This window comes from Homo sapiens, chromosome 8, assembly GCF_000001405.40.
Source record: "Homo sapiens chromosome 8, GRCh38.p14 Primary Assembly".
Lineage (NCBI taxonomy): Eukaryota > Metazoa > Chordata > Mammalia > Primates > Hominidae > Homo > Homo sapiens.
In genome coordinates, this window is record NC_000008.11 from 41,733,498 (window position 1) to 41,745,978 (window position 12,481).

At 47.2% G+C, this 12,481-nt stretch overlaps 1 protein-coding gene across 5 annotated transcripts in view, besides 3 other annotated features; it reads right to left on the reverse strand.

Moving 5' to 3' along the window:
- ANK1 (ankyrin 1) overlaps nucleotides 1–12,481 on the reverse strand; it is a 243,517-nt gene that overhangs the window by 80,273 nt on the left and 150,763 nt on the right. For all 5 annotated transcript variants that reach the window (NM_001142446.2, NM_020477.3, NM_020475.3 and 2 more), the window contains exon 3: nucleotides 474–572. In NM_001142446.2, coding sequence (NP_001135918.1) covers nucleotides 474–572 — 99 coding nt within the window. The remainder of the gene's footprint in view (nucleotides 1–473; nucleotides 573–12,481) is intronic.
- Nucleotides 742–1,284: an enhancer, noted in NCBI's record as "H3K27ac-H3K4me1 hESC enhancer chr8:41591757-41592299 (GRCh37/hg19 assembly coordinates)". NCBI's record gives its function as "activates a minimal SCP1, AML or CMV promoter by ChIP-STARR-seq in primed H9 embryonic stem cells {active_cell/tissue: H9 hESC(primed)}" and the evidence as "EXISTENCE:reporter gene assay evidence [ECO:0000049][PMID:30033119]".
- Nucleotides 1,262–2,461: an enhancer, noted in NCBI's record as "CDK7 strongly-dependent group 2 enhancer chr8:41592277-41593476 (GRCh37/hg19 assembly coordinates)". NCBI's record gives its function as "activates an origin of replication core promoter dependent on BRD2, BRD4, P300/CBP, MED14 and CDK7 cofactors, with strong dependence on CDK7, by STARR-seq in HCT116 cells {active_cell/tissue: HCT116}" and the evidence as "EXISTENCE:reporter gene assay evidence [ECO:0000049][PMID:35650434]".
- Nucleotides 2,671–3,647: an enhancer, noted in NCBI's record as "H3K27ac-H3K4me1 hESC enhancer chr8:41593686-41594662 (GRCh37/hg19 assembly coordinates)". NCBI's record gives its function as "activates a minimal SCP1, AML or CMV promoter by ChIP-STARR-seq in naive H9 embryonic stem cells {active_cell/tissue: H9 hESC(naive)}" and the evidence as "EXISTENCE:reporter gene assay evidence [ECO:0000049][PMID:30033119]".

Consider the following 12,481-nt stretch of genomic DNA (forward strand, 5'->3'; position numbering starts at 1 on the left):
GCATTTGATGTATGCCATCTCACTTACTTTTCATACCAACCCTGCAACTAAGTATTATTATCTCCATTTTACAGACAAAGAAGCTGAGGCTTCACAGTGGCCAAGTAACTCGTCCCAGGTCACAGAGCGTGAAGTATGTCTGCTGGGATTCGACTCCAGGCACCTGATTGGCGCTTCCAGAGCCCTTGGACACTGAGTTCGAGTCAAGGACCCTGAGAAAGTATAAAGCCATCAGGAAAGGGCTCTATTTTTAGATACGTAACCTAGTGATGAGGATAAAGGCCCACTGAATCTTTCTGGAAATGGGGTCTGTTTCAGGCAGCTTCAGGGATTCAGAGAACTAAAAAGTGATTGGAAGGATAAGAGAAATTCAGATGCATGCCTGAGTTCTCTCATGAAGGACTGGTTTCTAAGGAAGGACTCACAAACTTGAATTTTCAATGCAAAGCTCCCCCACTCCCTGTGAGACATACCTTGGTTGTCGTTTCTAGAATGATTTCTTTGTGCAGAAGTTCAACCACCATTTTCACATGGCCTTCCTTAGAAGCCAGATGCAAGCCATTCAACCCATTCTGTAAAGAGCAGAGAGGCGGGAAGGGCATGGTTAGTCAAATGGTGCTTTCTGCACGTCCCAGTGGGGGCCCAGGCCCCTTCCCAGCCCTGAGGTGTTCACAGCACTGGAGAAAAGGAGTGGAGTGTGTCTAGAGGTTGGAAGGGGCACAGGGCAGGGCCACCCAGCCTCCCCTTCACGCCTCAGGTCACAACAGAGCAGAGATGGAAAGGAAGGGCAAGAACTAGCCCGCCACTCCCAGATGTGAATTAGGCAGTAAGCTCTCACAACACCCATGGTGACCTTGAAATTCATGTCGAGGCCAGGCTTTAGGCAGCCCACTTAATTAAAATGATGTAGCTTCAACCCCTGGTTAATTTTCACAACAGTGACCAGGAAAAGCAAAGTGGTAACACCAGTGCATCCTAAATACTTGTAGAAATAGACATATGTTTGGTAAGATGTTAAACTCTGAAGCAAGGTCATATGAGAAATGAATACCACCAACCACCCAGCTGTAAGATTTCCTCAATAGAAAAATCAGTATTAAAATAGCCCCTTTGGCCCAGTACAGTGGCTTACACCTGTAGTCGCAGCGCTTTGGGAGGCTGAAGCAGGCTGGTTGCTTGAGCCCAGGATTTTGAGACCAGCCTGGGCAACATGATGAAACCCTAGCTCTACAAAAGAAAAAAAAAAGCCCACAGAAGTAGACAGGTGTGGTAGTGTGTGCCTATAGTCCCAGCTACTCAGGGGGCTGAGGTGGGAGAATCACCTGAGCCCAGGAGTTTGAGGCTACAGTGAGCTGAGATCCTGCTACTGGGTGACAGGGCCAGACCCTGTCTCAAAAATAAAAATAAAATGTAAAACATAAAATAGCCCCTTTGCCATCCCACCATTTCAAAGGTGACCAAAGAAGGCTGCCTGACAGTTAAGCTTTAGGAAAAGCAAAAAACAAACAAACAAACAAACAAAACACATTTTCCTTGCCCAACCCTTAGCCCACAAGAGCAGAGCCAATTAAAATTTAACCAATTAAAGTTCCAGCTGCATCTGGTGAAGCTGCCACTGTGCTTTATGGAAGGCAGCCAAGTTCAAGTTTTATTCATCACTCTCATGCTTCCTGCTCTTCTGATCCTTGCCCTGAAAGGTCTTGAAACTTTCCGGCAAAAGCTGACATCAAGGAGTGCTACTCGGAGCCACAAATAAGTCTGACAATATGAAGGAGCAAAATATCAATTCCAACGGATGAGTCGATCTTGGCTCCGTACAGAAAATGATTTTAGTCAGTGAGCAAACTCCACCTCCTGCTTTTTTATTTTGTTCCTGTCCTCCTCCTTCCCCGCCAGCAATTTTCCCCTCCTGTCCTCCTCCTCCTGGCCTCCCGTTTTGATTAATTCTGTTCTATTGCGTTCCTTTCCAGGGGAGGCCTCAGAGCCACTTCAGGCTCCAGTTCATGAAACAGATCCTCACCACCTAGACGGAGGGCTTGGTTTCTGCAGGTCTGATGTGCGGGGTCCCTGACTCACGTCCCCAAATATCTCCGCAGCCCCACCCTGCGTTCCTCGAATTCCAGCTCTCCCATTGTGTCAGGGCATCATTTTCAGGAGGTTCTTGTTCAAACACAAGTATTCTACCTGGGAGTGGGAGTGCATTAGCCCATTCACAGATTAGGCAAATTGCTTTGCCATAACTAGCAGAGGAAAGTCACCCAAAGTCATGATAGGAGAATGGAAGGGGTCCAACGCTTCTTTTATGTGGGGACCTTGGATGCAGCAAATATAACAGATGCCTTGGATGTTAGAGAAATGAGAAGGGGGGCTGCAAAGGGAACATTACCTACCTCCTATTTAGGTCAGGGCAGCCCTGCACCCTTGCCTATCAGCACAGCCAGCCTTGCCAGGGTGTGTGTGTAGGGAGAGGGGGTGGTTCACCAAATATTTCCTCATGCAAACGCCTGAAAATGACCACTGGCCATTAGGTTTCCTCCTCCTGCAGATTTTGCACACCATTCAGTGAAGGGTCCAAAGCTGTGTGGATTCTTCTCACCCGGTGTCAATGAGTTTATTAGAGAAAGCTAGGTCAGAGCCAGTCTGGGTAATAGAGAGGGAGAAAGTGCTTGAGGGCCAGATGGGAATCCAGGAGAAGGGGAGAGAGCACTGGGCAGGCAGAAACCAACTCCCCTCCCCTTGATTTGCAAGACAAATTCACTGCAAAGCAATTTGTCGAGTGACCAGTGCGCTGAGAGCCTGGAGCCACTCTTGCTTCTGCATCTTGCAACTCTTTTCTGGATGGGTCTGCAGGAAGGAGTCCCTGCTCCTTCTCAGAGCAGGGCGAGCTTTTTCAGGCAGCACACAGCATTTCTGCAAGCGCTCTTCCAACCCAGCGGCAGCCTTATCTAGAAGCTTCCTAGTGCTGACAGCGGATGCCCTGTGATTGCTTGGGAACTGGGTTGGTGTTTGTGGCTGTCGGCATGGCTGGAGTGACAGCCCGGCAGCTGCTGCTGGCCGCTTACTGCGGGAAGCTGACTCGCAGTGGCAGCCAGCCTTGCCTCGGTGCTGACGGCTGGGGTTTTAGTGCTTACTTGGGCAGCGCAGTCGCTCTGATGAGCATCTGTGGGTCCTGAATGCATCAAAGCCACAAAACCAGCAAGCCTGGAAAGAAATAGCTAATGCTTGCCGCTAATGCTCTGGGACGGCCGGCCCCTGCTGTTTGAGGCCAATGTCACGATTTCAATCCGGAGGGATTCTAGATATACTGTCTGACCAGAGAATGCAGGACTCGAAAGGGATATTAGAGGTCCCTGAACTCCACCCTTTCATCTGCAGCTGAGGAAGTCAAGGCCCAGAGTAGTCAAACGATTGGCAGAGGCCATGCAGCGTCTCCAGGGCACAGCCACACACAGGACCAACCTGGATTTCCCAGAAAAAAGGAGGTTTGGTTTTCTCCCCGCTAAAAACTACTGTGATAACTGGCTGGGCACGGTGGCTCACATCTGTAATCCCAGCACTTTGGGAACTGAAGCAGCCGGATCACTTGAGGGCAGGAGTTCGAGACCAGCCGGGACAGCATGGAGAAACTCTGTCTCTACTAAAAATACAACAATTAGCCAGGTGTGGTGACACGCGTCTGTAGTCCCAGCTACTCAGGAGGCTGAGGTAGGAGAACAGTTTGAACCTGGGAGGCCAAGGTTGCAGCAAGCAGAGATCACACCACTGAATTCCAGCCTGGGTGACAGAGAGAGACTCTGTCTCAACAAAATAAAACAAAACCAAACCCAAAACGATGTGTTTCTTTTTATCAGATGATGAAAGCATATCTTCCCTTTTCTGGTCTCCATGAAGCTTAGAGCTAACGAATGGATCTGATTGTGACCTCGGCAATTGATCTCTAGGATTTTATTCATCACTCTGATCTGCAGAAAACCCCCTTTCTTCTCTTCCTGGGTCCCATGCCTCCCTCGCAAAGGGCAGAGAGTAAGACCCTCGCCATGCAAGGGGCCGCCTGAGTAGACCTGCCTCTCGCGGAGCTGCACTCTCCCTCCATCCCAGATCCTGGCCCAGCGATCTCCTTCTTATGATTTTTAAAAAATGTTTTCTCACTTTATTGTAGATTTGTCTTTAACATAGTCACCCTAAATCACTTCCAAGTCTATTACTGCGGGGATCTGAATCCACTGTTCTCAGCAGGGCCACTGAATCAAACCCCACTGGGCACAGTTAATGAGAGAGATGCAAGATGGTCCGGGAATGCAATGCCTGTAAAAAACACATGGGGACGGGGCTGAGGAAGCACTTGTCTCAGCCACAGGTGTGGACACTGTTGCCATCAAACGCTGAGCAATTACTTAACCCAACTCAACAAATATTTATGGAGAACCTCGTCTGTGTCTGGCCCTGTGCTAGAAATGAATCAAACACAAACTGTTTCCCTTGAAGAACTCAGTTTTGTAGGGAACACGGATGCATAAAAAATAAATGCAAAATCATGTGAAAAAAGCCCCAAACAGCATGTAAAGGGGTAGAGGTGGCACAGAAGAGAAAAGAGTTGTTCTGTCAAGAAGACCCAGAAAGCTTCGCAGAGGACTTTTCAAGGCAGAGGTGCCCACCTGCACAAAGACAGAGTTGCAAGTTCATTAAAAACAGCAAGATGAGAAGTGTTTAGATTCTAAACCCATAAGCTAAAATATGCTCCCAGCTCTCTCAGCAAGTGCCCTCCTCTTCCTTTCCCAAAGCATTTGGATACAACAGATGCACAAACATCCAGACCCCAGCAGCACCTCTCCTCCAGCAATTGGTCTTAGTACGTAGATGGCTGCGTCTACCTACCTAAGGGGTGGTGACAGCCACAAGTCACCACCATCTAGCAGCGGAAGTTGCTGAACACCTGAAAACGAACCTCCTGCACACACACACAAAGGAGCTTGTACAGCTGTCTTATTAAATGCATAACTAGTTTATGCAGGAGACCACTTCTGATATCCAAAAGAGCATTTTGTGGATAAATACCATATTTAATACTTCCTTTTTCTTTAAGCAGATTTTTCATTGCTCAAATGAGAAGGAGGAGGAGGACTGCAAATTATGTGAGCTATTTGTTCTTAGCTGTAAGTATGGACAGAGATGAACTGTAATTTACCACCTCTTCAAAACTGAGAATCATGTTTTACTTTAGCTAAATCAAGTTTAAGTTAGCTTGGTTGCTAAAAGTAAAAGGCAGCTTGCTGAGACTTGCTTTGAATCTTTTCGGCGACTCCATCTCACCTTCACAGCCACTTTTCTTGAAGCCAAATGGCAGACAGGCTGTTAAAGGGGATTGGAGGTGTGGATAAATCACATATTTCTTCCCTCAAATAACAGGGTGTAGAAGATAAGCAAAAAGGAAGCAGAATAATATAAGAGTAAATGATTTCACTAAATTAGAAGCTGGGGAGAAAAGCAATAACTACTTGTGGCCATTTTTTAACCATATGGCTTTCCCTGGAGGAAAACACCAGTTCGCTAGAGTCTTTTTCCTACAGATACTGCCTTCTGGAGCTCCAATTACATGTGTTTTAGACCAGTTGATGTTGTTCCATAGCTCTTGGCTACTCTGTTTTGGTTTGTTTTTTCCCCCTCTTTTCTCTCTTTTCTTTCAATTTGAATTATTTCTATTGACTTATCCTCAAGTTCTTTAATTCTCTCCTCAGTTATGTCCAGTCTACTGATGAACCTGTTGAATAAATTCTTCATTTCTGAGAAAGTGTCTTTTGTTTTCAGCATTTCATTGAACTTTTTCTTATAGTTTTCATCTCTCTGCTGAAAATTTCCATCTACTCATGAATGTTATCTACTTTTCCCACTAGATACTTTAACATATTAATCATAGTTATTTTAAAGTCCATCTAATACTTCCAACATCCAACATTGTGGTCATCTCTAGGTCTGATTCTGTTTATTGCTTTGTCTCTCGACAATAGTTCATTGTTTTTTTCTTTCTTTTTTTTTTTTTTTTTTGGTGTGTGATAATTTTTAGTTGAGTGCCAGACATCAAGCATAGAAGAGCAGTAGAGACTGAGGTAAATAGTATTTACGGCTGGAAATCAACATGCCTCTTCTTCTGTGAAGTTGTCAGCATGGAGGTGAGAAGGCTGAGTCAATCTCAGGGGTTGACCTGAGTTTGAGTTTTGTTGTTACTTTCAGTGCACCACAGCCTTCACATTCTTACAAAGGTAGACTGCGGTTATCTTGAACTTTGAGTTGGAGCTGGGGTGCCAGGGGCTTTTTGTGTGAGTGTTCTTGACCTCCCTCAACTTCCAGCCATCCTGCATGCCTGGGCCTTAAATGAGGTAATTCTCCATGCTCCTACTCTTCTCCCAGCAGTGGCCTGCTCTTCCTTATTACAACATGTTAGGCTGGCAGGAATGGGCATGTTCTCTTTTGTCGTGCTCCAGCTTCAGTATTAGGCAGGCTCTGTACATCTGGCCCTCTAAGGTGGGATTTCTTTTCCATGTTTAGCAATCCTTCCCCCTTCTCTGTGGCAGCAAAACCTGTCTCACTTGCACTGGTCTTGGGTGAGTTTCTTGCTCCTCCCCCAGCAGTAGTCGACCCCTGCTTGTTTTTTTTGTGTTTGTTTTTGATTTTTTTTTTTTTTTTAGATGGAGTTTCACTCTCATTGCCCAGGCTGGAGTGCAGTGGCATGATCTTGGCTCACTGCAACCTCCACCTCCCAAGTTCAAGCAATTCACCTGCCTCAACCTCCCAAGTAGCTGGGATTACAGGCGTCTGCCACCACGCCTGGCTAATTTTTTGCATTTTTAGTAGACGGGGTTTCACCATGTTGGCCAGGCTGGTCTCGAACTCCTGAACTTAGGTAGTCTACCCGTCTCGGCCTCCCAAAGTGCTGGGATTACAGGCGTGAGCCACCACGCCCAATTGCCTGCTTGTTATTGGTGTAGAATCCCGGGCCCAAAACAATCTACAGCCCCTCCCCTAGGAGTCCCAAGGTGGCTGCTCCTATCTTCCCTACAGCAGCAAGTCATTGGCAGGAATGTTTCCTACCCCTCCCCTGGCTGAGGCAGTTTGTTTCTATTCCTCCCCTAGGTCTACGGTCTAAGGATTGGTGTATCTCTGTATGCGTGCACTCTATATACACATTCATGTAATCACCACCCCTCAATGTCTACTTCAAATTAAGGTTCCTGAGTTGGTGCAGTGAGTGCTGGATAAGCCAGCTCAGGCCTCTGGGGCTGACACACAGGTCTTTGCTCAACCATGTCCCCTGGGATACAGGCGCAAACCAGGCCCAACTGGCAGACCTGTGGGCTTCAGCCTGGGGCCAGGCACTGCCTCCCACACCTGGACAGCACTGGATTAACAGGCCTGCTCTTACAGGTAGGCTGGGCTGGCTTCTGGCCATGCAGGGATCTCTGGTCCCCAGGAGGGGGACAGGGCAGGTGAGGATGCTGGGTGGGTGGGGAAGAGCAATTGCCTTGTTCACCTCATGCACCCATGGGGACCTGGGAGTCCCATTTACAGATGGGTGGGGCTTCCAACCCACTCCACCCAGAACTGGGCTTCCCTCCTCTCAGCACCCCATGGAGGTAGGGGAGGGGAGGCCTGTTTTATTCTCAGAATAAATGTTACCACAATTTCAAAAATAAAAATAAAGGTGAGAGGGTCTGTTTTTGCTTCACATGAGGGAAAGATCTGGAGAAGCGGTGAAAGCTTTGTGTCCGTTCCTCCCTCCACCCCTGCCTGCACAGTCACAGGTCACCTCCTACACACCTGGCTGTCGAGGGGGCCTCCTCTGGCTCCTGACGTAGCCCAATACTTCTCATGGGGGCCCCGTGGAGAAAAGCCTGTTCCAGACACACTGGCCCACACTTGGCCTTCAAGAACTTTTAAGATTTTGGTGGCTGGGTGTGATGGTTTTTAATCCCAGCACTTTGGGAGGCTGAGGTGGGAGGATCCCTTGAGCCCAGCAGTTCAAGGCTGCAGTGAGCTATGATTGCACCACTGTCCTTGAGCCTGAGTGGTGGAGTGAGACCTTACCTGAAAAAAAAAAAAAAGATTTTGGCTTGTATGGTGAACACCTCTCTTTCCTGACCTCTGCCAAAGCTGAAGCGATTTACGTGGCCCGCTTCTTAGAGGGCTTTGCCTCTGTTTGAAATTCTGTTTACTCAGCTGCCTTACTACCTCAGGCAGGCATGAGATGGGTTCAGGAAAAAATGATCACTTTGTAAATTATCGAGCTTTTTGTCATTGTCGGGGTAGGAGCCATGCTCTCTGCAGCCTTCTGCATCCTACATACTCCCTGTACTGAGCCCTTAAGGCCAGCTGTCCCCATATGATCTCTTTCCACATGGTCCTAACATAGGAGATAACCTTTTAAGGCTCTTTTTGGCAAAAATCTTCATGCCAAGCACACACACCTAGAGCTGTGCACCTGCCTTTGCTCTTTTTCAGGTGGAATGTCAACTGACAGGATTGTTCTGAAAAGCGATCTGTGTGATGGGCGGGGAAGGAGACCTCAGCTAGGCTATGTTTCTTTTAACATTTTTAAGAAGAAGAAGAAAAAAGTCACATTCAGCCTGATTAATTCAATGTGGAGTATTTTCTTGCACCAACTGTGAGAAATTCCATTGGCAAAATACACAATTCCAGACATTTGTTCTCGTTAAATTATTCCTCTGTTTAGCTCTTCTGATTGCCCCAGTTGCACTAATTGATTTCCAAATGTATGAATACAGGAGACACGGGGAATTTAACTCTTCCTGTCAAGAGAAGGGGAACGGTTTGAAATAGAAAGGCCTTGGTGTCTCTGCAAAACTGCAAGAACATCTCAAAAGTGAATGCCTACATTCCCATGAGGACACACAGCCCTCACACCTCCTTTCCACGCAGCTGTTTATTTCACCCGTGCACAAGGCTGGCCCTGCCTCTATGGAGCAGGCAGCTTCAGCTGCATCCCGTGACTGAGGACCTCCCCACCCCACACCTCCTGAAATTCACTGCTCAGTCCCCCACTCCCTTTCTTTGAGCTGTGTTTCCAGAGAACCTAGGCAACATGTTCATATAACACTCGGGAAACACAAACTTTGCATCAATCAATATCTATTATCCAATGATTGGTCGAGCCAGGCCCAGAGGCAAGGGAGCACTGGCCAGGGGAAGATATTATGGGGATGGAAGGCACCGCAGTCCTAGAAAGAATAGGCCCGATAGCAGTGGCAGAGACACCAAGGAGTCTGAGGACCCCAGAGTGAATAAAATGAAAGATGAGAAAAGAAATGCCTAGATGCTTTTACCTTTACCCATGCAGGCAGCAAAGATCCAGGCAGAAGATCTTGCCTGTGATAAGGAGGAAGTTGTCTACATAGTGGACTCCTCTATTTAATATCCTAGGTTAGTGGGATATATTTCATATCCCACTTTCCTATTCAATTTGGATTCTCTGTTGAGTTATTATAAACAAGCAAGTGCTATACTCGATGTCACAGAAGCTTAATTCCGCAAATAGCAACCAACTTGTACATGTGTGACCTCTAGCTTTGCTCTATTATTGGTCCTTGTTTGTGGAGTGAGACCACAACAGAATATATTACGTTTGCAGGTCTGCAGCCCTGCAGCAGAGTAGGAGAGAAGAGCCTAAACTGGGGTTACAGAGAGGAAAAGAAGGACTGGAGTGACTGCCATACTTACTCCAAATCCTGAAACTGATGAGAATGAAAGAAAGAGCAGGGAAGAAAGCAAGGCAAAGACCATGGAGCCACAGGAGGCAGAGCAGATGATGGGAAGGGAAGGAGCGACGGCATGATAGTTTGTCTAGAAGAGGAAATGAACTGAGACACATCAAAAAAATTACTAGAGCTATATAAGTTTTGATTTCTTTCCTCAAATCGCCTACATCAAATTTTCAACCAAAACAGAAACGAAATCAAAGCTGAAGGAGTGCTTTCCCATCTTCCCTTCTCATCCTTCTCCTTCCCTCCCCACCCAGCTGGAGATGTCGGCCTTAGAGGGCAGTGAACAGGGAGGTGCCCTGCAGGGCATGGGCAGCAGCGTGTCTGGGGTCTGAGAAAGAGGACAGCTAATGGAGTGGTTGGGAGGTTGTCATCACACTGAGCAAACAAGTCAGTGAATATGTTAAGGAGGACGGGCATCAGTGGCATTCAGGCCTCCTGCTGTGTGAAGGACTGTACAAACATGGGGAGAGGAAAGGCTAGAAAGAATTCCGAGCACTGGGCTGGAACCAGAAATATTGGTGTGATCTCATTGATTCTTCATATATATATATATACATAGACAGCTGTAGACGTAGTTAGCAGACTCATGTATGCATACACGCATGCACACAGACATATGACAACCCGGAGCAATGGGCTCATCGGGGGCTGGACCCTGGTGTCTAAGTGCTGTCTCCACTAACAGGAACCAGGGATCTTTGGAGAAGTGCTGAGCCAGGGGTGGGGCAGGGCAAGTACAAAATGAGCCTGGGGCACCTTGTGCCAGAAAGTAGGAAAATGCTCAAGGAATGATGAGGACATGTCAAAGGATGAAGAAGCCAACTGATGGGAAGGACTTTTATTGGCCCAGCTTAGACTTGACCATTAAAATAAGTCATGGGAGTATCAGGTTGAAACGAAGACAAATCCATAGGAGACAAATCCATGAGTCCAAACAGCTCTACACAAATAAAGAAAAAATAAATTAATGGGGAAAAGAAAAAGCTTATCCTTTAGTAGAACGCCAGCTAAAAAATGTAGAAGACATGATGGAAATGAGGAATCACTGTCTGGAGCCACCACAGCAGTAGCTGATACAGGCAGATGTCATTAATGGGCTATTAATGTCATTAATAGACTGAAATATTTCCCTCCCTCAACACAATACTGATCAATTACAAAGGGAAAAGCAGTGAACTTATAGTAGAAAAACGTGGCTGGCACCAACTTTACTTGGTGATCAAGATTAACATCCCCAGGAGTGGGGAGGGAGCATGATTTCTTTTCTTTTTTTTTTTTTTTTTTGAGACAGAGTCTTGCTCTATTGCCCAGGCTGGAGTGCAGTGGTGCAATCTCGGCTCACTGCAAGCTCCGCCTCCCGGGTTCACACCATTCTCCTGCCTCAGCCTCCCAAGTAGCTGGGACTACAGGCCCGCCACCACGCCCAGCTAATTTTTTTATATTTTTAGTAGAGACGGGGTTTCACAGTGTTCACCAGGATGGTCTCGATCTCCTGACCTCGTGATCTGCCCACCTCGGCCTCCCAAAGTGCTGGGATTACAGGCGTGAGCCTCCGCGCCCGATGGGAGCATGATTTCTATGGTATTCCTGTCCAGCATGGCCATATGGCCATGAGGCAGCATCAGACAGACAGCTGAGGCTCAAACTACAGCATGGAAAACAGTCAAACACATGAGAAATGGGCACGCTGAGGGCCTATTCCAGATGGAAGGAGGCTGATGAGACATGACAACTAAATGCAAAATATCTTCCTGGAGAGATTTCTGAACCAGAGAAAGAGAGACAGAAAAAGGTGGAGGGGAACAGAGACAGCGTGAGAAAACAGACAGAGACAGAGAGACAGAGAGAGGAAAGGATGGAGGGGAGCAGGAAAGGGAGCGGAGGGAGAAAGAAGAAGGGGCGGGGAGATGTGAAGGAAGGAGGCACAGAGAGAGGGAGAAATTGTCAGAGGAGGGACAGTTAGCAAAATCCTAATGGAGTCTGTGGATTGGATGGTTGTGTTGCATCAGTGTTGATTTCCAGATTGGCAGGCACGTGGGATGGATACGTGGGAAAGTGTCCTTACTTTTGGATGGTGTACACTGGACTGTCTGGGGATGTGCCGAATCAGGTCACATGTCCTACATTATAGACAGATGAACAGGGACAGGAAGTGTAGAAGAACGGGCGTAGATAATGCAGACACGGGAGATGCGGGAATTCTCTGTACGTTCTTGTAACTTTTCTATAGATTCGGAACTACTAAACAATTTTTTAATGGGAGGTAAGGAGGAGTGGTGGTGAGGTGCAGAGGCTGCTGGAGGAGAGGAGTGATGTTGTGGGGGTAATTCTGGGGTCTAAGTAGGGGACAGGTGGCCCGCTGGGGCTTCTACACATTTTGGGAATCACAGCCAGTATGAAGTTATAATTACATCTATCTGTTCTGGTTTTTCCTTTCTTTCTTTTAGAGATGGGGTCTTGCTATGTTGCCCAGGCTGGAGTACTATGGCTATTCACAGGGGAGATCACAGCTCACCACAAACCTCGAACTCCTGGGCTCAGGCGATCCTCCTGAGTAGCTGGGACTACAGGTGCAGGGCCATGCCTGGCTAATTTGTTTTTTAATGTTTAATTTTTAAATTATTGATTTGTTCTGTAGGACAAGGTCTCACTATGTTGCTCAGGCTGGTCTTGAACTCCTGGGCTCAAGCCATCCTCCCGCCTCAGCC